Below are 26910 nucleotides of genomic sequence, written 5' to 3'. Positions count from 1 at the left end.
TGTCATACACTGTAGGGTCCTGGGCTTATTCTTGCTTGTTGCTCCATCATCCTCAGCATGTGGCTCCATCATCCTCAGCATGTGGCATCCCCTTTATTGAGGTCCAGCCAGCATGTCTATGTTCCAGCTAAAGAGAAAATGGCAAAGTCAAAGAAGGGCACACCTCCTCCACTGAAGGACTCTAAATGCTTCCGGTCACAGATAGTAATTTGCTATCATTAATAATTTGCTATTGGGAGGCCGAGGTGGGTGGATCACTTCAGGTTGGAAGTTCAAGACCAGTCTGGCCAACATGGTGAAACCCCATCTCTGCTAAAAATACAAAAAAAATTAGCTGAGCCTGGTGGTGTGCACCTGTAATCCCAGCTACTCAGGAGGCTGAGACAGGAGAATTGCTTGAACCCAGGAGGCAGAGGTTGCAGTGAGCCAAGATCATGCCACTGCACTCCAGCCTGGGCAACAGAGCAAGACTCCATCTCAAAAAAGAAAAAAAAATTCTATCATTTTATTGCCAGGACTGGTTGCACGGCCACACCTGACTTCAAAGGAGGCTGGGAAATGTAATCTTTAATCTATAAGAATAAGGGGCTCAGAATCAGGGGCTTTATTACTAAAGAAAAAGGGAGACCAGAGAAAGAGGAACAACTAGCAGTGCTCACCCTGCCCATGTTTATGGTGGGCATTATGACTGCCCTCCTCTAGTTCCAATTCTTCTCCCCTTCCCAGACACTTGGAAAGCTCCATTATCATCCCCCTTGCAGGAGGCAGCTCTGCTATACTAGCTCTGGCAAATAAGCCAGAGAGATGGGTGTCACTTCTGGGTCACAGCATGTAAGAGCCCATTGCAGCTCTCCACATTCTTTTCCCGCCTGTGGAAGTGTGTGGAAGAGGGAGGCGCCAGAAGGCCAAAGCAGCATGACCTACCACATAGAGGACAGCAGCCCTGGAGGGCCCTACAGAGGACTTCCAGTCCTACAGAGGGTCCTATTGTCCTACAGAGAACTTCATGTGATAGAGAAATACACTTTTCAATGTTAAACCACCAAAATTTGGTTTCATTTGTTACTGCAGCACAGCCTACCCTGTCTTGTGTGATACAATATTCCTAATAAAATCTTCAGTGTAGAAAATTGTAAATCAGGCTAGGCATGGTAGCTCACACCTGTAATCCCAGCACTTTGGGAGGCCAACATGGGAGAATTGCTTGAGCCCAGGAGTTTGAAACCAGCTTGACAATGTAGTAAGACCCTGTCTCAAAACAAAGAAAAAGAAAATTATATGGGGAAAGGATTCCCTATTTAATAAATGGTGCTGGGAAAACTGGCTAGCCATATGTAGAAAGCTGAAACTGGATCCCTTCCTTACACCTTATACAAAAATTAATTCAAGATGGATTAAAGACTTACATGTTAGACCTAAAACCATAAAAACCCTAGAAGAAAACCTAAGCAATACCATTCAGGATATAGGCATGGGCAAGGACTTCATGTCTAAAACACCAAAAGCAATGGCAACAAAAGACAAAATTGACAAATGGGATCTAATTAAACTAAAGAGCTTCTGCACAGCAAAAGAAACTACCATCAGAGTGAACAGGCAACCTACAAAATGGGAGAAAATTTTCGCAACCTACTCATCTGACAAAGGGCTAATATCCAGAATCTACAATTAACTCAAACAAATTTACAAGAAAAAAACAAACAACCCCATCAAAAAGTGGGCGAAGGATATGAACAGACACTTCTCAAAAGAAGACATTTATGCAGCCAAAAAACACATGAAAAAATGCTCATCATCACTGGCCATCAGAGAAATGCAAATCAAAACCACAATGAGATACCATCTCACACCAGTTAGAATGGCAATCATTAAAAAGTCAGGAAACAACAGGTGCTGGAGAGGATGTGGAGAAATAGGAACACTTTTACACTGTTGGTGGGACTGTACACTAGTTCAACCATTGTGGAAATCGGTGTGGTGATTCCTCAGGGATCTGGGACTAGAAATACCATTTGACCCAGCCATCCCATTACCGGGTATATACCCAAAGGATTATAAATCATGCTGCTATAAAGACACATGCACACGTATGTTTATTGTGGCACTATTCACAATAGCAAAGACTTGGAACCAACCCAAATGTCCAACAACGATAGACTGGATTAAGAAAATGTGGCATATATACACCATGGAATACTATGCAGCCATAAAAAATGATGAGTTCATGTCCTTTGTAGGGACATGGATGAAACTGGAAACCATCATTCTCTGCAAACTATTGCAAGGACAAAAAACCAAACACTGCATGTTCTCACTCATAGGTGGGAATTGAACAATGAGAGCACATGGACACAGGAAGGGGAACATCACACTCTGGGGACTGTTGTGGGGTGCGGGGAGGAGGGAGGGATAGCATTAGGAGATATACCTAATGCTAAATGACGAGTTAATGGGTGCAGCATACCAACATGGCACATGTATACATATGTAACAAACCTGCACATTGTGCACATGTACCCTAAAACTTAAAATATAATAATAAAATTTTAAAAAAAAGAAAATTATAAATCATAAAGTTAAACATCTATTTAATCTGCTTCCCCCACTTTATTTTTGTATAAGTATGCATACATTTTTCTTTTTATATATAAGCTCATACTATATAGTCTATTCTATAAATCACTTTTTTCATTGTGTATCATCTCTGTATCAATGTTATCTATTTTTTTAACTGCATGGCACGTTACGTATGATTCACCGCAATTTGTTTAAATAATCACCTACTAGTGGACAGTTTATTTCTTATTTTTATATGAAAATAGAAATCAGGTTTGTGTGTATTTGTATCTTTGCACACTTGTCCAATAATTTCCTTAGAATTGATTCTTAAACACAAGCTTACTTGGTTAAAATCTATATCTTAATTATACATGTTACCAATTTGCTGTCCAGAAAACATAATGATTTATATTCCCTTTAACAATATATGAGTATTCATTTCCTACATCCTCAATGCTGGATGTAATAAAACTTTTTAAATGTTTAGGTATCCTTAACATCCAAACAATGAGTTTCTTTGATTAGTAGTAATATAGAGATGATTTCTAAATAAATTTGTCATCTTCATTTCCTCCTTGAGCATTTTTAACTTATATTTTTTGCTTATTTTCCTAGATTACCATTCATCTTTTGCTTTATCTAATAAGGATATTAACCTTCTATATGCTATGTATATTTAAATTTTGTTTTTGCTTTAATAGTGTCGGGGTGTTTTTTGAACTGTGAACAGTTTTTTTCAGTCCTGCTCCTTCTGTATATTTTTAATTTTTTAAACATTCAAATCTGTTTATCTCATAACTGTGTAATTTCTGGCCCTGAATTTTGGCTAGGAAACCTTTTAATATCCATGGTTTATAACAATCTTTGTCTAGTCTTGAAAAACTGCTTATTAATTTTAAAATTAATAAGGCATGCCGGCTCATGCCTGTAATCCCAGCACCTTGGGAGGCTGAGGCAGGAGGTTCACTTGAGTCCAGGAGTTCAAGACCAGCCTGGCCAACATGGTGAAACCCCGTCTCTACTAAAAATGCAAAAGTTAGCCTGGGGGTGCATACCTGTTATGCCAGCTACTCAGGAGGCTGAGGTGCGATAATCACTTGGACCCAGGATGTGGAGATTGCAGTGAGCTGAGATTATGCCACTGCACTCCAGCCTGCATAACAGAACAAGACTCTGTCCCCAAAAAACTTTTTAAATGACATATATTAAATGTTAGTCCTCTAGTATATTCCTGATCCATCTTTATTCAATCCCCTAATTCAATTTCCAGCTAAAATGGAGTACTTTTTTCACATAGGTCACATGGTTTTCTTGCCTTCTCAAAGTCAGGGAAAACAGGAAAAAAATTACTTAAAAAAGTAATGACATTGCAGGTTTGTAGATCAATATTTGTAGCCATAAAAGATGTGGGTTTTTTCTTTTTTAGAAAAAAGGAGAAAAGAATATGGCCAAGTTCAAAAAGAAAACAGAAAAAAAAAATGCCCAAGACATAAGGAAGAAAAGTGAAATTGTTACTCTCTTGGTGTTTATCAGGCCCCTCACCTGACCAGCTGGCATGACCTCCTCTCCAGCCACATGTGCCTGGAGCACAGCCAGCCCCAACCTTGTCCCCTAGGCCACCCCATCAGTAGACTCCCCAACAAAGGAAGAGCAAACCTAACACCAACTTGGTTTATACCTAGTCTTCTTTTCTCTTATCATAGGGAGGGAATGGGGTTGAGGTGGACATGAGGCATCAGACAATTTTGAGATTAGAATTGTTTCCTGTCTAGGGTCAGAGCCCAGAAGAATAGACACAAGAAACCTAAATCCCCAAGCAGGATTCAGACTTTCAGTTCCAAACTGGATTAGATTTGGAGTCATAGAGTGTTCAGAACTACCTCAGTCAACCCATGCTTGCTTGCATGCCTGCATGCATGTGTCTACTCCAGTGCACAAACTGTGTTACTTGCAGAATAAGAAACAAAAAAGCTGCATTTTTCTGGTTCCTCTGCTTCATCCCACTTTTCTTTTTCTCCTCTGTATTCTCTCCCTCTTCCCTTTCTGTTCCTTTCTTTTTCCCTTTTTCTTTTTTTAATTTATTTTGTAAATTTTTTGTATAGACCAGGTCTTGCTATGTTGTCCAGGCTGGTCTTGAAATCCTGGCCTCAAGTGATCCTCTTGCCCTAGCCTCCCAAAGTTCTCGGATACAGGTGTGAGCCCCTGCACCTGGCCCCTTTTTCTTTATTCTTTTACTCAAAATTATTCACAAAGGGCCTAAGATATGCCGGTCAGTGGGGATTCTCTTGGATTCTGTACCTTTATGGGAGCCAGCCTGGGAAGAGATCTTGTCCCAGCTCCCAAACATGAATTAGGACATGAGGCTCACTGCTTTGGAAAGCCCTCTAATTTTTCTGCTTGTTCCCAGCATGCCTCAATCTTGGGGTTTGGCCTAGAAGGAAAGTCATATCTGCCTGCTTGCACTTCCCCTCCCTGGCCTCTTCTTCCTAGTTCCCCACCCCACTGCCTCCCTAGGCTGGAGGAAACATACTCTCTGTCATTTGCTGAGTGTTCACTACCAATGACTTATAGGAAAACTTGACATTCAGACCTCCAAAGTTTTCTTTTGATAGGTACAGGTAATTTTTGGAATTTATAAATTCCTCTTTGCTCCCAACAAATACTGTGCTTCAAGATTTTGTCTAAGCTTGCCAAAATGGCCCCAACTGAGCAGTGGCTTCTCAATTCTAGCAAGCATCTGCCCTCCCCCTGAAACCTATTGATGTAATAGTCAGGGAAATCTTTACTATTTGCAAGGATGAAAAATACATGATTCCTCAGCAGAAACCTTACAAGCTGGAAGGGATTGGAGTCTTATCTTTAGTCTCCTTAAACAGAATAACTCTCAGCCAAGAATTTTGTATCTGGCAAAGCTAAGTTTTATGAATGAAGGAGAAATAAAGTCATTTTTAGACAAACAAATGCTGAGGGAATTTGTCACTACCAGACCAGCTTTATAAGAAATGCCAAAAGGAGTTCTAACTCTTGAAACGAAAGATTGATATGCACCAGAATACAAACTCTTGAAAGCATAAAACTCACAAGGTCTATAAAACAATAACACAATGAAGAAAACAACGTATGTAGGTAACAATTAACATGATGACTGAAACAGTACCTCACATCTTGATATTAATGTTCAACATAAATGGGCCTAAATGCTCCACTTAAAAGATACAGATTGGCAGAATGGATACAAAATCACAAACCAAATATCTGCTATCTTCAAGAGACTCACTTAACACACAAGGACCCATATAAATTCAAGGTATAAGGGTGAAAAAAGATATTCCATGCAAATGGAAACCAAAAGTAAACAGGAGTAGCTTTTCTCATATCAGATAAAACAGACTTTAAAGCAACAACAGTAAAAAAAGGCAAAGAAGGTCATTATATAATGATAAAAGGATCAATCTAACAGGAAGATATTACAGTCCTAAATTTAGATGTAGCTAACACTGGAGCTCCCAGATTCATAAGACATTTACTACTAGACCTAAGAAAAGAGATAAGACAACAACACAATAATAGTGGGGAACTTCAGTATTCCACTGTCAGCACCAGAGAGATCATTGAGACAGAAAGTCAAAAAAGAAACAATAGATGTAAACTACACTCTAGAACAAATGGACCTAATAGATATTTACAGAAGATTACATTCTTCTCATCAGCACATGGAACATTCTCCAAGATAGACCATATGATAGCCACAAAACAAGTCTCAATAAATTTTTATAAATTGAAATTATAGTTTGATGGGAATAACATTGAATCTATAAATTACTTTGGGCAGTATGGCCATTTCCAAGATATTGATTCTTCTTATCCATGAAGATGGAATGTTTTTCCATTTGTGTCCTCTCTTATTTCCTTGAGGAGTGGTTTGTAGTTCTCCTTGAAGAGGTCCTTCCCATCCTCTGTTAGCTGTATTCCTAGGTATTTTATTCTCTTTGTAGTGATTGTGAATGGTAGTTCATCATGATTTGGCTCTCTGCTTGCCTATTGTTGGTGTAAAGGCATACTTGTGATTTTTGCACATTGATTTTGTATCCTGAGACTTTGTTGAAGTTGCTTATCAGTTCGAGAAGTTTTTGGGCTGAGATGATGGGGTTTTCTAAGTATATAATCATGTCATCTGCAAACAGAAACAACTTGACTTCCTCTCTTCCTATTTGAATACGCTTTATTTCTTTCTCTTGCCTGATTGTGCTGGCCAGAACTTCTAATACTATGTTGAATAGGAATGGTGAGAGAGGGCATCCTTGTCTTGTACTGGTTTTCAAAGGGAATGCTTCCAGCTTTTGCCCATTTTATATGATATTGGCTGTGGGTTTGTCATAAATAGCTCTTATTATTTTGAGATATGTTCCATCAATACCTAGTTTATTGAGAGTTTTTAACATGAAGGGATGTAGAATTTTATCAAAGGCCTTTTCTGCATCTATCAAGATAATCATGTGGTTTTTGTCTTGGTTCTGTTTATGTGATGGATTATGCTTATTGATTTGTGTATGTTGAACCAACCTTGCATCTCAGAGATGAAACCGACTTGATCATGGTGAATAAGTTTTTTGATGTGCTGCTGGATTTGGCTTGCCATTATTTTATTGAGGATTTTCGTATTGATGTTCATCAGGGATATTGGCCTGAAATTTTCTTTTTTTTTGTTGTGTCTCTTCCCAGTTTTGGTATCAGGATGATGCTGGCTTCATAAAATGAGTTAAGGAGGAGTTCCCTCCTTTTCAATTGTTTGGAATAGTTTCAGAAGTAATGGTACCAGCTCCTCTTTGTATTTCTGGTAGAATCAGCTGTGAATCCATCTGGTCCTGGGTTTTGTGTTGTTGGTAGGCTATTAATTACTGCCTCAATTTCAGAGCTTGTTATTGGTCTATTCAGGGATTCAACTTCTTCCTGGTTTAGTCTTGATAGGGTGTATGTGTCCAGGAATTTATCCATTTCTTCTAGATTTTCTAGTTCATTTGTGTAGAGGTGTTTATAGTATTCTCTGATGGTAGTTTGTATTTCTGTGGGATCAGTGATGATATTCCCCCTTATCATTTTTATTCTGTCTATTTGATTCTTCTCTCTCTTCTTTATTAATATGGCTAGTGATCTATTTTGTTAATTTTTTCAAAAAACCAGCTCCTGGATTCATTGATTTTTTGAGGGTTTTTTGTGTCTCTATCTCCTTCAATTTTTCTCTGATCTTACTTATTTCTTGTCTTCTGCTAGCTTTTGGATTAGCTTGCTCTTGCCTCTCTAGCTCTTTTAATTGTGATGTTAGGGTGTCCATTTGAGATCTTTCTAGCTTCCTGATGTGGGCATTTAGTGCTACAAGTTTTCCTCTTAACACTGCTTTAGCTGTGTCCCAGAGATTCTGGTATATTGTCTCTACATTCTTCACAGAATTAGAAAAAAAAACTATTTTAAATTTCATATGGAATCGAAGAAGATCCCATATAGCTAGGACAATCCTAAGCAAAAAGGATAAAACGGGATGCATCCCACTACCTGACTTTGAACAATACGACAAGGCTACAGTAACCAAAACAGCACGGTACTGGTACCAAAACAGACATATAGACCATGGAGCAGAACAGAGACCTCAGAAATAACACGACACATCTACAACCATCTGTTCTTCAACAAACCTGACAAAAACAAGCAATGGCAAAAGGATTCCCCATTTAATAAATGGTGCCAGGAAAACTGGCTATCCATATGCAGAAAACTGAAACTGGACCCCTTCCTCACATCTTATACAAAAAATAACTGAAGATGGATTAAAGACTTAAATGTAAAACCCAAAACCATAAAAACCCTAGAAGAAAACTGAAGCAATATCATTCAAGACATAGGCATGGGCAAAGTCTTCATGATAAAAAAGCCAAAAGCTATTACAACAAAAGCCAAGATTGACAAATGGGAATTAATTAAACTAAACAGCTACAGCACAGCAAAAGAAACTAGAAATAGAGTGAACAGGCAACCTACAGAATGGGAGAAAAATTTTGCAATCCACCCATCTGACAAAGGTTTAATATCCAGAATTTACAAGGAACTTAAACATATTTACAAGAAAAAAACAAACAACTCCATCAAAAAATGGGCAAAGGATATGAACAGACACTTCTCAAAAAAAAAAAAATTTACGTAGCCAACAAACATATGGAAAAACGCTCAACATCACTGATCATCAGAGAATTGCAAATCAAAACTGCAATGAGAGACCATCTCATGCCAGTCAGAATGACAATTATTAAGAAGTCAGAAAACAATAGATGCTGGTGAGGCTGTGGAGAAATAGGAATACTTTTACACTGTTGGTGGGAGTGTAAATTAGTTCAACCATTGTGGAAGACAGTGTGGTGATTCCTCAAGGATGTAGAACCAGAAATACCATTTGACACAGCAATCCCATTACTGGGTATATATCCAAAGGAATATAAATCATTCTACTGTAAAGACACATGCACATGTATGTTTATCGCAGCAGTATTTACCATAGCAAAGACGTGGAACCAACCCAAATGCTGGATAAAGAATCCAGCATTTAGACTGGATAAAGAATATGTGGTACATATACATCATGGAACACTATGCAGCCATAAAAAGTAATAAGATCATGTCCTTTGCAGGTACATGGATGAAGCTGGAACCCATCATCCTCAGCAAAGTAACACAGGAACAGAAAACCAAACACCGCATGTTCTCACTCATAAGTGGGAGTTGATCATTGAGAACACATGGACACAGAGAGGGGAACAACACACACCAGGGCCTGTTGGGGTGTGGGTGGTGAGGGGAGGGAACTTAGAGGATGGGTCAATAGGTGCAGCAAGCCACCATGGCACATGCATACCTATGTAAGAAACCTGCATGTTCTGCACGTGTGTCCCATTTTGGGGGGTTTTTTAGAAGAAAAAAATTGAAATTATATTAAGTATCTCCTCAGATCACAGTGGAATAAAACTAGAAATCAACTCCAAAAGGAACTTTCAAAACCATAACAAATAAATGGAAATTAAATAATCTGCTCCTGAATGATTTATGGGTTAACACTGAAATTAAGACGGAAATTAGAAAATTATTTGAAATGAATGGTAACAGTGACATAAATTATCAAAACTTCTAGGATACAGCAAAAGCAGTGCTTTTAAGAGGAAAGTTCATAGCGCTAAATGCCTACATCAAAAAGTCTGAAAGATCACAAATTGACAACCTAATGTCATGCCTCAAGGAACTAGAGAAACCCAAAGCTAGCAGAAAAAAAGAAAGATGAGAGAAGAATGAAATAAAATTGAAACAAAAAATAAAAAAGATCAATTAAACAAAAAGCTGGTTCTTTGAAAAGATAAACAAAATTGATAGAACATTAGCCAGAGTAACCAAAAAAAAAGAGAGAAGTTTCAAATAAACTCAACTAGAAATGAAACTGGAGACATTACAACTGACACCACAGAAATACAAAAGATCATTCAGGACTACTATGAACACCTCTATGCACAAAAACTAGAAAAATCTAGAGGAAATAAATAAATTCCTGGAGACATACACCCCTCCTAGATTAAATTGGGAATAAATAGAAACCATGAACAGACCAATAACAAACAGTGAGATTGAATCCAGCAGCCCATCAAAAATATAATACACCATGATCAAGTGGATTTAATCCCAGGGATTTAGGGATGGTTTAACACATGCAAGTCAATAATGTGGTACATCACAAAAACAGAATTAAAAACCATAGATCATTTCAATAGATGCAGAAAAAACATTTGATAAAATCCAGCATCCCTTTAGATAAAGATCCTCAACAAACTAGGCATAGAAGGGGCTTACCTCAAAGTTATAAAAGTCATATATGACAAACCCACAGCCAATGTGATACTAAATGGGAAAAAATCTAATGCATTCCCCTGGAGAACTGGAATAAGACAAGGATGCCCACTTTCACCACTTCTATTCAACATAGTACTAGAAGTCCTAGCCAGAACAATCAGAAAAGAGAAAGAAATAAATGACATCCAAATTGGAAAAGAAATCAAAGTATCACTGTTCCCTGATTATATGATCATATACCTAGAAAACCCTAAAGACTCCTTCAGAAGACTCCTAGATTTGATAAATGAATCCAGTAAAGTCTCAGGTTACAAAATCAAATGTACACAAATTAGCACTGCTATACACCTACAGTGACCAAGCTGAGAATCAAAGCAAGAACTCAATCCCTTTTAAAACAACTTCAACAAAATAAAATAAAATACCTAGGAATATACTTATCCAAGGAGATGAAAGATTTCTACAGGGAGAACTACAAAACACTGCTGAAAGAAATCATAGATGACACAAACATATAGAAACACATCCCATGTTCATGGATTGGAAGAATCAATATGAAAATGATCACACTGCCCAAGGCAATCTACAGATTGAATGCAATTCTTATCAAATATCAACATCATTTTTCACAGAACTGGAAAAAAAATCTTAAAATTCATATGGAACCAAAAAAGAGCCTGCAAAGCCAAAGCAATCCTAAGCAAAAAGAACAAATCTGGAGGCATCACATTACCAGACTTAAAATTATACTACAAGGCTATAGTTACCAAAACAGCATGATACTGTTATAAAAGTAGATACATCGACCAATGGAACAGAATAGAGAACTCAGAAATAAAGCCAAATACTTAAAACCAACTGATCTTTGACAAAGCATACAAAAACATAAATTGGGGAAATGACACCATATTTAATAAATGGTGCTGGGAAAACTGGTTAGCCACATGTAAAAGAATAAAACTGGATCCCTATTTCCCACCTTATACAAAAATTAACTCAAGATGGATCAAAAATTTAAACCTAAGACCTGAAACCAGAAAAATTCTATAAGAAAACCTAGGAAAAACTCTTCTGGACATTGGCCTAGGCAAAGAATTCATGACTGAGACCCCAAAAGCAAATGCAACAAAAACAAAAATAAATAAATGGGACTTAATTAAACTGAAACGCTTCTTCGTAGCAAAGGAAATAAACATCAGAGTAAACAGACAACCCACAGAATGGGAGAAAATATTTGCAAATTATGCATCCAATGAAGAATTAATATCCAGCGTCTACAAGAAACTCAAACATTATAGAAAAAAATCCCACAAAAAGTGGGCAAATGACATTAATAGACATATTTCAAAAGAAGATATTCAAATGGCCAAGAAACATCTGAAAAAATGCTCAACATCACTAATCATCAGGGAAATGAAGATTAAAACCACAATGAGATACCACCTTACTCCTGCAAGAATGGCCATTATTAAGAAGTCAAAAAAAAATAGATGTTAACATGGACGTGGTGAAAAGGGAATGTTTATACACTGCTGGTGGGAGTGCAAATTAGTACAACCTCTATGGAAAACAGTATGGAGATTTCTTAAATAACTAAAAGTAGATCTACCATTCCATCCAGCAACCCCACTACTAGGTATCAACCCAAAGGAAAATAAGTCATTATATCAAGAAGACACCTACACACATGTTTATTGCTGCATAATTCACAATTGTAAAGATAGGGAACCAACCTCAGTGCCCATTGACCAATGAATGTGTAAAGAAAATGTAGTATATATACACCATGGTGTATTACTCAGCCATAAAAAAAGAATGAAATAATGTCTTTTGCAGCAACTTAAATGGAGCTGGAGGCCATTATTCTAAGTGAGGTGATGGAATGGAAAACCAAATACTGTATGTTCTCACTTATAGGTGGGAGCTAAGATATTAGTACTCAAAGGCATACAGAGTGATATAACGGATTATGGAGACTCAGAAAGGAGAGGGACGGAGGAGGGGGAGTAAAAACCTATGTATTGGGTACAATGTACACTACTCAGACGAAGAGTGCACTAAAGTCTCAGATTTTGCCATTATATAATTCATCCATGTAACCAAAAACCACTTGTACCCCAAAAGCTATTGAAATAAAAACAAATTAAAAAGAAAAATACATTTAATATTTTCAAAACTTTAGTGCCTATTAAACATTCATTCAGCAGTGGAGTGTAAGGTGTGGGCCAGGTATCTGTCCTAGGTCCTGGGAACTCAGCAGTGAGCAAGACAGACACAAATCCCTACACTAGTGGAGCTTGCATTCTAATTGATACACCTGTAATTACTAAACAAAATGAGGACTTGAAAAAGAGAAATAGAAGGAAGTATTATGAGTCTGGGGGGAAGAAAGATACACACAAGAAAAGAGAGAATTATAGAGAAATGGCAAGATAACTCCTGAAAGGGTAGGGGCTGGGAACATGAGAAGGGAGCTCACTAAACTATTCACAAGTCTATTTGGTCCAGGGGCAGCCTCACCTGGGCATGGCATCCAAGAGAAGCTCCAAGTGGTGGATAAGGTGACTCAAAGGAAAGACGACTCAACCTGGAACTCAGAGGTCATGATGAGGGTCCAAAAGGCAAGAACTAAATGTGCCCGAAAGTCCAGATTGAAAGGTAAGGCTAATGATGGAATCTGCTATTTGAATAGCTCAATGTAGGAGGGCCTCTTGGAGCAGTACAGGGTCAGATAGATATGTAAAGTCAATAGTAGAAGGAGGGAGACGTACAGAAAAGAGGGACATGAAGACAGAGCACGGATCTGTTGATGTGACAGTGGTTGTTGGAAGAAGTGTTCTCAGGGTGCAGTTCACCTTGGCTTTGCCATGTGGATTTACATGACTACTCCCCAGTGTCTGCTGTTTTCATTTCTGTTATTAGAGTCACCACTACTCTCTTGAGTTTGGGAGACTCCTTTCTGGTTCTGGCCAACCCAGTCTTGGAAGTGGCACCAATCCTCAAAGTGGACACATTTGCAGGATTGTTTTTTAATGTTTCATTTCTAGAAGTGAAGTTGCTTGGTCAAGTCTGCATTTTTAAGTTAGGACATATTTGTTGTCAAATTGCCTAAATTGTCTGTTTATACTCCCATTACATCATACAGACACCCTTTCCCTCCACTTTCACCAACACTAGAAATAACAAGATGTGTCTATGATGACGGCCAAAGGTGAAGGGTGATATTCCACCGGTGTTTCCCTTTGAATTTCTTTTCACTTGGCAGGTGATCAAACATGCTGTGGTAGCTTGTATTACGGTTCTCCAGTGTTCCAGTGCCCCACCTCCTCAGAAGTCTACAGCCCTGCCTGTGGACTCAGGAATGCCCATGTGATAACTTAGCGAAAGAAATGTGGACCCAAGTTAGAGAGCCACTTTCAGGCCAAGGCTTTAAGAGCCCCTTTGTCTTCTTTCTCTCTGCCCAAGACCAGGGATGTTCTAGACAGAGGCTGCTCTGTCTGCAGAAGCCATGAGTGTCAGTGATGTAGGGCTGAGCCTCATCTAATTTATGATGAACAAACAGCATGAGAGAGAAGTAAACCTTTGCCATTGTAAACCAGAGCTTGGCAAATTTTTTCCAAAAAGGACCAGAAGATGCAACTACTCGACTCTGCCTTTGTAGCGTGACAGCAGCCAGAGGCAAATACGTAAACAAATGGGCGTGGCTGTATTCCAATAAAACTTTATTTACATAAACAGGCAGTAGGCCAATTTGGCCCTTAGACCATAGTTTGCTGACACCTGTAATAAACCACTGAGATTTGGGAGGATCGTGAATTACCACAGCATTACCTAGCCTATCGTTACCAATTTACCTGTTTTTTAAATAAATTTGACATTGGAATTTTTTCTTTTGAGGGTCATCTGTTTGAATTTGCCCATTTTTCTATAAGACTGGCCATTTTTTTTTGTTAAATCCGTTAGGGAAATTAACCCTTTGTTATAATTATTAGTTTTTCTGATTTGGTTTCTGTCTTTGAACTTAAGAAGCTTTTGGTTGTGGAGCCATTTGCTTAGTTAGATAGACAAATCAGTTTACCTTTAGCAGTATGGTTTATGCCAGAGTTTCTCAATCTTGGCATTATTGACATTTTGGACTGAATAATTCTTTGCTTCGGAGGCTGTCGTGTGTGTCATGGGATGTTTAGCGACATCTCTGGCCTCTACCCATTAGATGCCAGTAGCAGCTGCTTCCCCGTCCTGACAAACAAATAGATTTCCAAACATTGCCAGATATCCCCTGAGAGCAAAATCACCCAGTGTTAACCACTGCTTTATGCCCATTACTTCCTCCTTAAAAAGCCCTTCCTATGTGATATTTATAAGGCCATACAGTAGCCCCCCTTTATAAGCAGTTTTTTGATCCATGATTTCAGTTACCTGAAGTCAACTGCAGTTTGAAAATATTAAATGGAAAGTTCCAGAAATAAACAATTTATAAGTTAAAAATGATGCGCTGTTCTGAGTAGCGTGACAAAGTCTTGCACCATCCTGCTGTATCCCACTCGGGGATGCGAATCATCCCTTGGTCCAGTGTGTCCTGCTGTATACGCAGCCCACCCATCAGTCACTTAGTAGCTGTCTTGGTTATCAGATTGAAGAAACATAGTATCTGCAGGGGTGGGCACTACCCATGGTTTCAGGCATCCACTGGAGGGCTTGAAATACATGCCGTGTGGATAAGGGGGGACTCCTGTACATCCCTTTATTCTAGTATTTGTAGTAAATGTATTGACATATATTAATTAGTGGAAATTTGGCTTCTGTAGTATTTTTAGCTTTTCTGCCTATTAACATGAGCTTGCTGTATTTCCTTAGTCAATGCTACAAGGAAGTCCTTTCATAAGGACTCATATGTAACTTGTCTCTCCAAACTGGTAGAAAAACAGGAAAAAATGCTTGAAGATTGTTAACCTATGAGGCTTATAAATCTATGTTTGTAGCTATAAGTGATTATTAATTCTGTGTTTAGAAAAGAAAAAGGAGAAAGATATCTGTTCAAGCTCAAAAAGGAGATTTCAGAAAAATATTCACCGAAGAGGTAAGCAAGCAAGCCACAGCGCCTCCCCACTGGGCTCCCCAGAGCCCTGGCCTCTGCTGGAAGCTCCACCCGCCCTCTCCTTCTTCTCTCTCCCTTCTCCTCCAAAGTTGTTCTCCACCGTCATGGGTACCAGCTGAATTGGGTGCATCAGGAGTGCTGCCAGCCTAACCCACCCCCTTGTGCATGGTGGCCATTTCCATACTTGGAAGGATTCTTTAACACAGAGCTATACAAAGACCCAAAAATGATTAAGGATGATCACTAAACCTTTAAGTCAAATTCTAAAATGAACTTCTATGTCTTCCATTCTAGGAATTAAAGGAAACCCTTATTCAAGCACAGCCTGACAGTGTTCTCGTTCCTTTTCCTGTGTTGGTTGGGACCCTGGGCTTGCTTCAGCCTCTCTGCACCCTCGGCCCTCTTTGCATCTCTGTCCTCTCCCTCCCACTCCTCTTCTTGCATTTATTTTTCTTCTGCTTTTATACCTTGCTTCTTCAGCATCATTTCTTGTCACCCTCTCTTCCTTTTTTAGGCGCCAGCCACACTGGCCCTTTTTATTCATTATCAAAGTATAATAGGTGCTACCCAAGGTGGGGTCCCCAGACTGGTGCCATCTACAAGCATGCTGCTTGGCAGGTCTACAAGAATAAGGAGCTTGTAAACCAACTGTGACGCTAAGCACACTGTTTTCATAGCAAGATTCCTCAGTGGAGACAGCAGTGCATTGATTCTGATCAAGCCCCTGTCGCATCGTAGGCTGGAGCACTGAGTAGCACTGGTGTATGTGCTTGCAGAAAATGGCATGTATCCTAAGAGTACAGCTTGATGGATTCACACACACAGAAAATGCACCCGCACACCCAGCACGCAGCTCAAGACACAGGATGTCACCAACACCCATAAACCACCCCTACCCGTGTCTCTAGGGTCACACCAGCCTGATTCCTCACAGCATAGGTCACCAGATACCGAATGCTCCCACCTCGTTCCTGCTCAGGGCCTCCTCACATGGGCCTCCCAGCTCACCCACCCAACCCCAAAGTGAATCCCCCTATCTTCCTCCCTTTCTTTGCTATACACCCTCAGACCTCACCTTTTTTAAAAATATTTATTTTAAGTTCCAGGATACATGTGCAGGATGTGCAGGCTTGTTACATAGGTAAATGTGTGCCATGGTGGTTTGCTGCACCTATCAACCCATCCCCTAGGTATTAAGCCCAACATGCATTAGCTATTTATCCTGGTGCTCTCCCTCCTGCTCCCCTGATAGGCCCCAATGTGTGCTGTTCTCCTCCCTGTGTCCATGTGTTCTCATTGTTTAACTCCCACTTATAAGTGAGAACCCATGTGGTGTTTAGTTTTCCGTTCCTGCATTAGTTTGCTGAGGATAATGGCTTCCAGCTGTAATCATGCCCCTGCAAAGGACATGACCTTGTTCCTTTTTATGGCTGCATAGTATTCCGTGGTGTATATGTACCACATATTCTTTATCCAGTCTATAATTCATGGATATTTAGGTTGAGCCCATGTCTTTGCTATTGTGAATAGTGCTGCGGTGAACATACACATGCAGGTATATTTATAATAGAATGATTTATATTCCTTTGGGTGTATACCCAGTAATGGGATTGCTTGCTGAGTCAAATGGTATTTCTGGTTCTAGGTCTTTGAGGAATTGCTTCGAGGTCTTTCACAATGGTTAAACTAATTTACATTCCCACCAATAGTATAAAAGTGTTCCTATTTCTCCACAGCCTTGCCAGCATCTGTTGTTTCTTAACTTTTTAATAATCGCCATTCTGACTGGCATGAGATGGTATCTCATTGTGGTTTTGATTTGCAGCTCTCTAATGCTCAGTGATGTGGAGCTTTTTTTCATATCTTTATTGGCCGCATAAATGTCTTCTTTTGAGAAGTGTCTGTTCATGTCCTTTGCCCACTTTTTAAAGGTGTTGTTTGCTTTTTTCTTGTAAATTTGTTTAAGTTCCTTGTAAATTCTGGATATTAGACCTTTGCCCTCAGACCTCACCTTAAATGTCACTTCCACAGGGAAGCATTCTCTCTCCCAGCAGGTAGGGGTGGGTCTCCCTGACATGCCCTTGTGGAGACCTGCATTTTGTCTTCATGGCACTTATCTTAACTGTGATGAATGATCTGTGCACAGCCTGTTCACTGCGTGAAAGTCACGTGAGGTCAGTAAGTGGATGGGTCTTGTGTGTTGCTGTATGTCCAGCTCCCCATGCCTCACACAGCTGGTACTTCTTCAAGTATGAATACCAGTATCTGGGCCTATCTGATGCATGTGTGTGAGTTAGAAAAAGGTGCCCCTTCCTCAATTCACTACCTCATCTGTCAGAGCCAATTCTTGAAACCAAACCCTTTTCTGCCTTCTGCTGGAAGATTGTTGTACTAAGCAGGTAAACTGATTCTGTTTCTAATATGAATTAGAGCACCCCTTAAAGGTGGAGTCCTTGCTCAGGGCACAACCCATACAACTTCATGCAGTGGTCCTGATAACCATATAAATGTGTACATTACTTCACAGTTGGCAAAGCACTTTGATCTACATTTTGCCATTTAATTACCATAATAAGTGAGTGTTATCAGCCCATTTTACAGATTCAATTAAAGGGCAAAAGACTTGAATGAGCTAAAATCAACCTATGTGTTCCAATTTCAAGCCCTTTTTCCTTTACACTAAAAATGTAAATGAACCTAGAAAGCACCTACTCTCAAACACTGGTGGAGGCAGGAGCCCCGGCAAACGTTGACAGTTGTCCCTCAGCATCAGTTTCTTCTCCCTTCTGCACTGTCTGTAACTTCTCATTAAATGCAGAGTATCTGTGCTGTTGTTGCTTGTATGATGTGCAGTCTCGTGGCATTTCTGATGATGTGGAAAGAGCGCTAGATACTGGGTCTGGCATGTGTAAATTCCAGTGCCAGCTCCACCTCATGTAATATGGTGACCACCGGCAATTCTCTCTCCACATCTGACCCCAAGTCCCTCATCTATAAAATGAGGACAGTCATTGCCTTCTCTTTCTTACACATTGTTATGCGGATAGATGACACAGTGCATCTGCTGCTCTTACTGTTTCCTTGACTATCACTTTTCCTCCCACCGCCCCATCTCCACCCCCAATCATCCCCTCCCCAGACCCCTCATGTATACATCATAGAGCTCCCAAATCACTCCCCAGGCCTGTGGTCTTTCCATGCATAATTTCCACCTTGTGCTCCTTCCTCATGTTCTGTAGGAATTCCTGGAGTTGGTCTTCTGGATTATGAATTCGTTTTTTACCATGCCGCTATTCCTCATCTCGATTAGGCTTTTCTTCTTAGTTTTCTCCACCTTGCTTTTCCTTTCCCTGAGCTCTCTGTTCTCTAATTGCTTGCTTTTCACAGCAGGCTCCTCATTGTTTGCTCATGCTTCCTAATGGGGACCTAAACTCACCGCTGCTGCAGCTCACCTTTCAAACAAGCCAGCTGCCGTTAGAGAGCCCCAAGCATCCCCCACCGGGTTCCTGGGGCTGCAGGGTTCCATCCTTCAAGGCCTGGTTGGTAAGATGAGTAGGTGAGGCTGAGCCAGACTTAGCACTATTAGGAACAGGCTGCCCTCAGGCATAGGACAGTTGGCTTTGGAAGTCCTCGGGTCTAAAGGCCCCACCTCACTTGATGGCCTGCCTCCACTGGGTAAGGAAGGGACTGATGTTTGTCCTCACAACTCTGCACATCAGCTTGCTACCCGTGGCCCCCAAAGCCACCCCCTGCTCCCTCATCTGCTTGTGAATGTGTTTGGGACATTTGTGTTCCCTAAAGCTATATTCACCACAGGGAATTAGAGAAGACATTTCTGTGGAGACAGAGAACTGTAGAAGGGAAGGTCCCCAGAGCTGTGCTAATCTCCCTCAAGGTTTGCAATAGTGGTCCAGAGTCACCTGGAGCTCTGCCTTTCCCTCACATTAGGAACCTGCGGCAGCAAATTTCCCACTCAAATTTGATAACAGTAATGCACGCTTAGGTAATCCTTCTAGTAAGTTGCAGAGCCAGGATTACAAGCCCCTCCCACCCCCACTCCTCCCTGCCCCCCAGTCTGGCTCCCAAGGCCACGCTCTCATCTGCTGTTCCATATTTACTGAGTTGAGTCTAGAGACAAATGGTGGAGCTGGCCACTCCATGCAAGAGGGCTGGCTGTTGAAACAAAGTTTTTCCCACCGTAAGTTCCCACACCCCCACTACCCTCCACCCCCATGCCTAGCCTTGCTGCCAGCCCCTGCTCCTGTGAGGCCAGGCATCCTGTAGGGTTCTGTCGGGGGGATCACATCCTCACTTCTCAGGGTCCCTCCTCTCTCAGTCTCACTCTATCTGCCTTGTGTCTTTCCAGAGAAATGAATGGCTTCTTCGCCGCTGATACTGTTCCTTCACCTTTCCGTCAATGCTCTTGTTTTGCCATTTGTTTTCCTTTAGCTCTTTCAATAACTGTTTGAGGCAAGGGAGAGAGTTGGACCAGGTGTTCTCCTAGATTCATTTTAGGTGTAACATCCTCTGTAACTCAACATAAGACATGGACAGCCCCTTCATTTCTCCCCAGAGAAACAGCCCCTGCTGTCTCTCTTTAATGAATTCACCCATAGTGAGGTTGGAGGGGAAGGCAGCAGGAATTGCTGAGATTTATTTTAAACCCTCTTGCAACTGCTTCCCCTGAATCTAAACTCTGGATTTCTACCCAGGGGTTCTGAGTTGCCAGACTGCTCCATGAGCAACTGGGAAATTAGTTCAAAGCTCTCCAGGGTTTTCTTTTATTCATCGAGGAAGAAGCAGGGAAGCAATAAAATGAAAAGAAACAGCAAATAATTAAGACTGACACCATCCCCTCAGTGCCAGCCACCTCACTCACCCAAGTCTTCATTTAAGTCAGGAAATAAGATTATAAATGAAGATTTTTTTTTCCTCTGGCAACATGAATGCAAAGAAACATTTCCATCAGCACAGAGAGATCAGCAGGATGCTTATAGAATAGAAGACTATTCAGTGACAGCCAATTCACTTGCAAATTAAGACACATTCACTGAAGATGCCCTATATGTTCCACTAAAATGTTTTTTTTTTTGATATAGTGTTGGTGGCAGTGGTGGTTTGTTGCAGGCCACTGTGTACACATAGCTTATCTGTCACTCGAGATGAAAGAGTTCCTGCAAACTAACCAGAGAACGTTCCCCAATACCCTGTACATTATTGGAATTCATGGAGGGGAGAATTCAAAAGGAAGATGGAGTGAAGACTGAATAACACAAAACTGTTCTCTTCTACTTTAAGGAAAACCCAAAAGTGACACTGTGGATTTTCACTGTTCTAAGCTCCCCGTGACCTGTGGTGAGGCGAAAGGGATTTTATATAAGAAGAAAATGAAACACGGTGAGTTCCTTGGTCTTCTGCTCTTTGGAATCCCTAGATGAAGGACTCACTAGAAGGGAGGAAAATACCCGTGTGTGTAATTGATCAGGAAATGGACCCTGCTAGCTAGACTGCAGAAGAAACGCTTCTTAGGAAGGAATTTCCAAACTCTTCCACATCATGGTATTTCTGGCAATCAGACCCTCCACTCCCACCTGGAAGTCACCCATGGGCCCTGCTGTACTGACAGCCATGTCCTTGCTGCATGTAGGCACTACACGAATGCACATTCTGTCCCACCCCTCACCACTCAGTCAGGCTTTAGGGCTGGCTTCAGTCCAAGAGAAGAGGCCCGCAGACTCCCCTGCTACTCCTTCCACCTCACAGAGGAAGTCTCTCTTGACCTGGAAAGGTAGAAGGCCACAATTAGGATGAAGAGGTTCAGGGTGAATTCACAGAGGATGGGGGTAGATCCAAGAATGGGCTTTTTCTTACAGGATCCTCAGTGAAGTGCATTCGGAATGAGGATGGAACTTGGTTAACACCAAATGAATTTGAAGTCGAAGGAAAAGGAAGGAACGCAAAGAACTGGAAACGGAATATACGTTGTGAAGGAATGACCCTAGGAGAGCTGCTGAAGGTATTATAATGACGGGACAGATAGGTGACAGGTTTAAATCCTTGAAGGAGAAGTGGAGCTTTAAGAGCAGAAATGTGAAGAGCTCCCGTTAGGATTCAACAGCATGATTTATAAGGAGTTAAATGTTCATAGAAAAAAAACTGTGGGTGACAAAGTTAGGAGCACATATTGTTCCTGATGGTGGAGAACTTTAAATGCAAGTAAAGGAGTACAGGAACTTTAAATGCCGGCAAAGGGCTTTGAGGTGAAGAGAGATGTAAGAACCTAAAAAGAAACTAGCTGAAGACAGATGCCTGCAACCACTCCCCTGCATCCTCTACCTGACATCTACTCAAGGCCCAGCTCATCTGGCCCCCCTGCAGCATTTCCAGGCTGCCCAGTCCGTGGTCTGTCTCTCCGCTGCATGTCCACAGCACACTATTCCTGTCCTGAGAACAACTAGTGTCTATGATGACAGGACCCAACACAAGGCCTCTCTCAGCAACACTCAAGAAATTATCACTAGGATGAAATCCTAAAGATTTTAATCTAGAGAGGGAGAAATGGAAGGAGAAAGGAATGGATGGGAAAGGTTAAGAAAGAAGAACTAGGGTCGTGGGTTTGAGTGACAGGGGAAAAAGTGATTTTATCACTAAGTGAGGTCCAGAAGAAAAACTGACTGGGGGAGGGAGCTAATTTTTCTTTTTGACTTCTTGGGTTTGAGATCCAGTGTGATGTCTGGGTACAGACATTCACTAGGAAGTGGGAAGGCCAGTATCTACAAAAGAAAAACCTCCAGAATAACCTCATTCATTGACTCCTTCTGTCTTTCAGAGTGGACTTTTGCTCTGTCCTCCAAGAATAAATCTCAAGAGAGAGTTAAATAGCAAGTGAATTTCTACTACCCTCTCAGTCACCATGTTGCAGACTTTCCCTGTCTGGAGGCTCACCTTAGAGCTTCTGAGTTTCCAAGCTCTGAGTCACCTCCACATTTGGGCATGGCATCTTCAAAACAATTAATTTGCATAGTTAATTTGGGATGGGGAAGCAAATGACTCTAAAATAAAAATTAAATGAAAAAGCTCATCATGTCCATGTGTTTTAGAAAAAGATCTGGATATTTGGATGGCTATAAACCAAAGGTGTCAGAAATAAAATGCTCTAAGCCTAGGCAACATAGCAAGACCCCATCTCTAACAAATTTTTTTTTAATCAACTAGGAATGGTGGTGTGCACCTGTAGTCCCAGCTAAGGCTGAGGTAGGAGGATTGCTTGAGCCCAGGAGTTCAAGACCAGCCTGAGTGATATAGTGAGACTCTGTATTGCTATACAGAGCGATGTAATCCCAGCACTTTGGGAGACCAAGGTGGGTGGATCCCTTGAGCCCAGGAGTTTGAGACCAGCCTGGGCAACAGGACAAAACCCCTTCTTTACAAAACATACAAAAATTAGCCAGGCATGGTGGCATGCACCTGTAGTCCCAGCTACTCAGGAGGCTGAGGTGGGAGGATCACTTGAGCTCTGGAGGCAGAGGTTGCAGTGAGGCGAGATCATGCCACTGCACTCCAGCTGGGGCAACAGAGCAAGACCCTGTCTCAGAAAAAAAAAAAAAAGAATGCTGCAGCATGAAAAGCAAAAGAAAAGGCATTGAAATAGACAGGAACAGTATATGAAAGGACAAGAGGATCATCCATGATTGCATACTGAGTATTGCTGAATCCTCCATGCTTCTTATTGGTAGCACCAGGATGGAATGACGCCTTTGAACTGAGCTTTGTCTCTACAGGGCATCCCTACAGCTGGAAATGGCAGTCATCTATTGGCTGCACTAACTCCCCCTCCTCAACCTCCTCTACTTGCTTAGATGTGTTCTCCAGACACATCAGCTCCACTCATGAGCTTCCCGTTAGTTGTGAACTTCCAGCAGAGACAATGGTGCCTCCCCCATCTTGCCCTGGAGGCTGGCCTGACCAGGCTGGATTCATTCAAAGTTTAAGGCACTGGTCTCCCAATGCCATCTATTATATAAATCATCTTTCCCATGCTGGTCTGAAATACCCTGAGAATCAGGGGTGCTCAGTGTAACATCATAATAGCAAAAAATTAGGGACGAACACAAGTTCTATCAGTATTGCAGAATAAACTGATACAGCTACAGAATGGTTTTTTTTTAAACTTTTCTTATAGAATATTAGACCTTTGATATAGATATTTGTTTAAATACATGGATTCATAAGTATGGAGTTATCCTTCAATCAATGGAAAGCCACCAAATGGTTTTGTGGTCAGGAGAGCTTCAGGACACTTAATGCTAGTTGTGACGTGTGGGGAAGGAACCCATTGTTGCTTATGTGAACGTGTAGGTAGGTCTATGAGTGAAAAAATAGCCAAAAGAATCAACTGCACTTATTTTGAGATGAGATCACAGGGACATATGCCTTCTGTATTATACCTTTATGTACAATTGGAATTACTATAATGACCATTTGTTACTTTTGCAACCAGAAAAAAAAAAATCTTTAAAATCCAGATCATTAATTAATAGCCCCAACATGGTAATACCCTCTAACTCTCCTAATGCCACATGTCAGCTCATAATAGCCAGGGGCATGCTTGACCCAGCCTCTCAGTCCCACCTTCCAGGGCCAGGTTGGGAGAATAAGATGAAGGTTTACCCGACTGAGAATGAGCCAGTGCGGGCCTTGCCCTCAGCCCCATCATCCAGTGTCACTGCTGCTCGGCAGCACGTCCGTCTGTCTCCACTGCAGTCTCACTTATGTATGTGTACAACAAAGAGACCGATGCTGGTACTCCCAAAATGTGTTTTGTGGTTGCCCTGCAGCGTGCTGCCTCCATGACCCACACATGATGGGCAGCTGGTGTAAAGAGCCACAGACTTGGCCTGTGAGAGCCTCCGTCTCCAGAAGGGCTTGGATGCAGCCAGCAGTTGCCACTCTATCAGCATATAGTGTGAGGCTGAGGAGAACAGCTTTTGGGGTTTTGGTTTTTTTTTGTATCAGAAGCCCATGGCCATCATGGGTGGTCCAGAGATGCCAGGAGGCATGAGAGGAGGTTGCCAAAGCTTCCACAGTGAATGAGACTCAGGAGGGCACTAATGTCTGCTGTATTGCAATTTGACAGATTCTAGAACCTTTTGTTAGAAGGGGCCCCATTCAAAGTGGGCTTATTTTGCAAGTAACAGCGTAAATGGGCTTACCTAAAATCTACAAATGAAGGATGTGTTTCCTTGAACTCAAGAGGCCTGAAGGATGCTGGGAGGTTTATTAGAACACTGTGAGTACTCAGAGGGTCAATAATTATTTTTTGACAGTGTCAGGGATGGAGCATCCCTCAACTGACCAGACAATGGCCAGAAATTGGTGTGGATCCCTGTACTATGCCTGGGGCAGTGGCCCATACTTTTTTGTTTTAGTTTAATCCCACCATGTGGAAACACAAACCCCATCCTTTTCTATGAGTTCTTTGTGAGTAATGTCCTGAGTGTGTCAAATGAATTTGCTGAAAGAAGGGTGTCTTCAGGGTGATGTTACACCTGTACTCCTAGAGAATGTCAGATGCAGTTCAAATCCTGCCTGCAAAGATTGTGTATGGTGGCAGAACTGTCGAGGTACCCCGTGGTAGCCAGATAACGGTCTATTGTGTCCCTTCGGGGGTGAAAGCAACCTGCAGCTGAGATCTGTTGAAATAGGCGCTGAACAGAACACATTAGTCAAATCTATGCCTGCAGAGTATTTACCACTTGCTAAGTGGATGGAGTCAGTAATTTCAATAACATTGGGCCATCACAGGTGGGGTCACAGGATTCAGGTTGTAGTAATTCACCGAGAGGCACCATTCATTCTTTCCAAGCCTAAGAACAGACCAAATTGGGCTGTTAAATGGAGAAACAGTGGGGATAATCACCCTTTCTCTAAATAGATCTTCCATAATGAGTTTCAATCCTTGAAAGCCGTGTTTTAATTCATATTGATCAGTATTAAATATTTTAACAGAGAAGGTCCATAGAGTTCCATTTTGTAAAGCCAATTGTAAGTGCCAAAGGTAACTTAATTTTAATTATTTTAATGTGTTATTTACTGGGTCATAGCATCCATGCCCACTGTGGAACATTTTAGGGCCATGTTATGTTACGACCATGGGGCAGTTAGGCAAGGCACCAGGAACAACAGTTCCCATACTCCTGCACCCAAATGCCAGTTATCATCATTTCTTACTTTGGTCAGTCAGATCTATTAATAGAGGCCTGGTGGGCTCAGCAAATGCGCCCAGAGTGGCCCAGCTCAAAGCACAAGCTTGCCAGCAGGCAGCAGCACAGCTCAAAACGCAGCAGAACCTGTTGGCAAGCCACAGCCAGAGAAGAAAAGTCCTGGTGGCGGCGGTCACCACCCAGACTCTCTGCTTGTTGTGCCATTTGTCTTGCAATTTCCCCCAGGGAGGTGGCATCAGCTCCCCCCATCAAAAATTGGGTTTGGATATCCACTCTGGCACACACAAAAATGATGTGTTCTAGAACCCCACAGGGTCAGCATTCGTGGGTCTCCATGGTCCTAGCGGTGCCCACGTTATCTGCCCTTGCAGCGGAAAAACTCGGATGAATGCGAGGTGTGCTGTCAAGGGGGACAACTTCTCTGCTGCGGTACTTGTCCACGAGTCTTCCATGAGGACTGTCACATCCCCCCTGTGGAAGCCAAGAGGTGAGTGGGATGCAGCCCCGCCTCGGGCACACAGCACTCACCTCCAGATGGAAAGGGCAGGACCTGTGAGCGTCGGGGACGAGGGTGTGACGCAGAGCAGTCTGGTGCCAGAGACTCTGGGCCTCTCTGGGTCTCTGAGACTGCCAGTGAGCCTCTTGGCCCCACACTGCTTCTGCCCCTGGAAGTGCCCTTTCCTAGTATGCTATTCCCTGGACAGCAGGGACTCCTGTCCAAAAGGAGGAGGGGACGGGAAAAGCCAGCTTATGTTCTGTGCCTGTTGAGGAAAGACAGGAAGCACGGCTTGTCACACATTTCACCATAGTCTCACCTGGCTGATGGAGGCCTGAGGTCCCTGCAGGTGAAAGCCCAGATTCTGACACTCAAGCCTGGCAGGCAGGGTTCCTTTGTGCTCCCAGCAGCTCAGACAGGGAAAAGAGAGCCCACACTTAACAGTGACACCACCTTCCTCAGGCTGCCCGCCTGCCGCTACCACTGATGCGAGGGAAGGGCCAATGCTGGAGACCCCATGTGGGGATCTTGGACACTCTGGGAGGTGTCCCACCCTCATGGCTGAGCCCATCCTTCCTGAGGGAAGACAGTGGCAGCCACAGGAATGGTGGCCATTTCCAGGGGCTTTGCCCTCTGCTCACCTTGTGTCCAAC

The 26910-nt window shown here is 41.8% G+C and overlaps 2 protein-coding genes across 19 annotated transcripts in view, besides 1 other annotated feature; one reads left to right on the top strand and one right to left on the bottom strand.

Moving 5' to 3' along the window:
* The window catches only part of SP140 (SP140 nuclear body protein), a 130421-nt gene extending 117480 nt beyond the window's left edge, over positions 1 to 12941 (bottom strand). The window contains exon 1 of the mRNA XM_047443073.1: positions 9 to 12941. The gene's annotated coding sequence lies outside the window, so the exon portion shown is untranslated. The remainder of the gene's footprint in view (positions 1 to 8) is intronic.
* SP110 (SP110 nuclear body protein) overlaps positions 1 to 26910 on the top strand; it is a 60451-nt gene that overhangs the window by 26545 nt on the left and 6996 nt on the right. For 14 of the 18 annotated variants that reach the window (XM_024452850.2, XM_011511090.4, NM_001378446.1 and 11 more), the window contains 5 exons: positions 12949 to 13098; positions 15452 to 15520; positions 20837 to 20935; positions 21412 to 21554; positions 26133 to 26248. In XM_024452850.2, the coding sequence (XP_024308618.1) occupies positions 12949 to 13098; positions 15452 to 15520; positions 20837 to 20935; positions 21412 to 21554; positions 26133 to 26248 (577 nt within the window). Of the gene's footprint in view, positions 1 to 12948; positions 13099 to 15451; positions 15521 to 20836; positions 20936 to 21411; positions 21555 to 22367; positions 22618 to 26132; positions 26249 to 26910 lie in introns of those variants that run through there. The other 4 variants (XM_017003969.2, NM_001185015.2, NM_001378447.1 and 1 more) reach the window with 1 other exon arrangement.
* Positions 18677 to 19219: an enhancer, noted in NCBI's record as "OCT4-NANOG hESC enhancer chr2:231044589-231045131 (GRCh37/hg19 assembly coordinates)". NCBI's record gives its function as "activates a minimal SCP1, AML or CMV promoter by ChIP-STARR-seq in naive H9 embryonic stem cells {active_cell/tissue: H9 hESC(naive)}" and the evidence as "EXISTENCE:reporter gene assay evidence [ECO:0000049][PMID:30033119]".

This window comes from Homo sapiens, chromosome 2 (genome assembly GCF_000001405.40).
Source record: "Homo sapiens chromosome 2, GRCh38.p14 Primary Assembly".
NCBI classification, from domain to species: Eukaryota; Metazoa; Chordata; class Mammalia; order Primates; family Hominidae; genus Homo; species Homo sapiens.
This window is presented reverse-complemented; position numbering and strand designations above follow the sequence as displayed.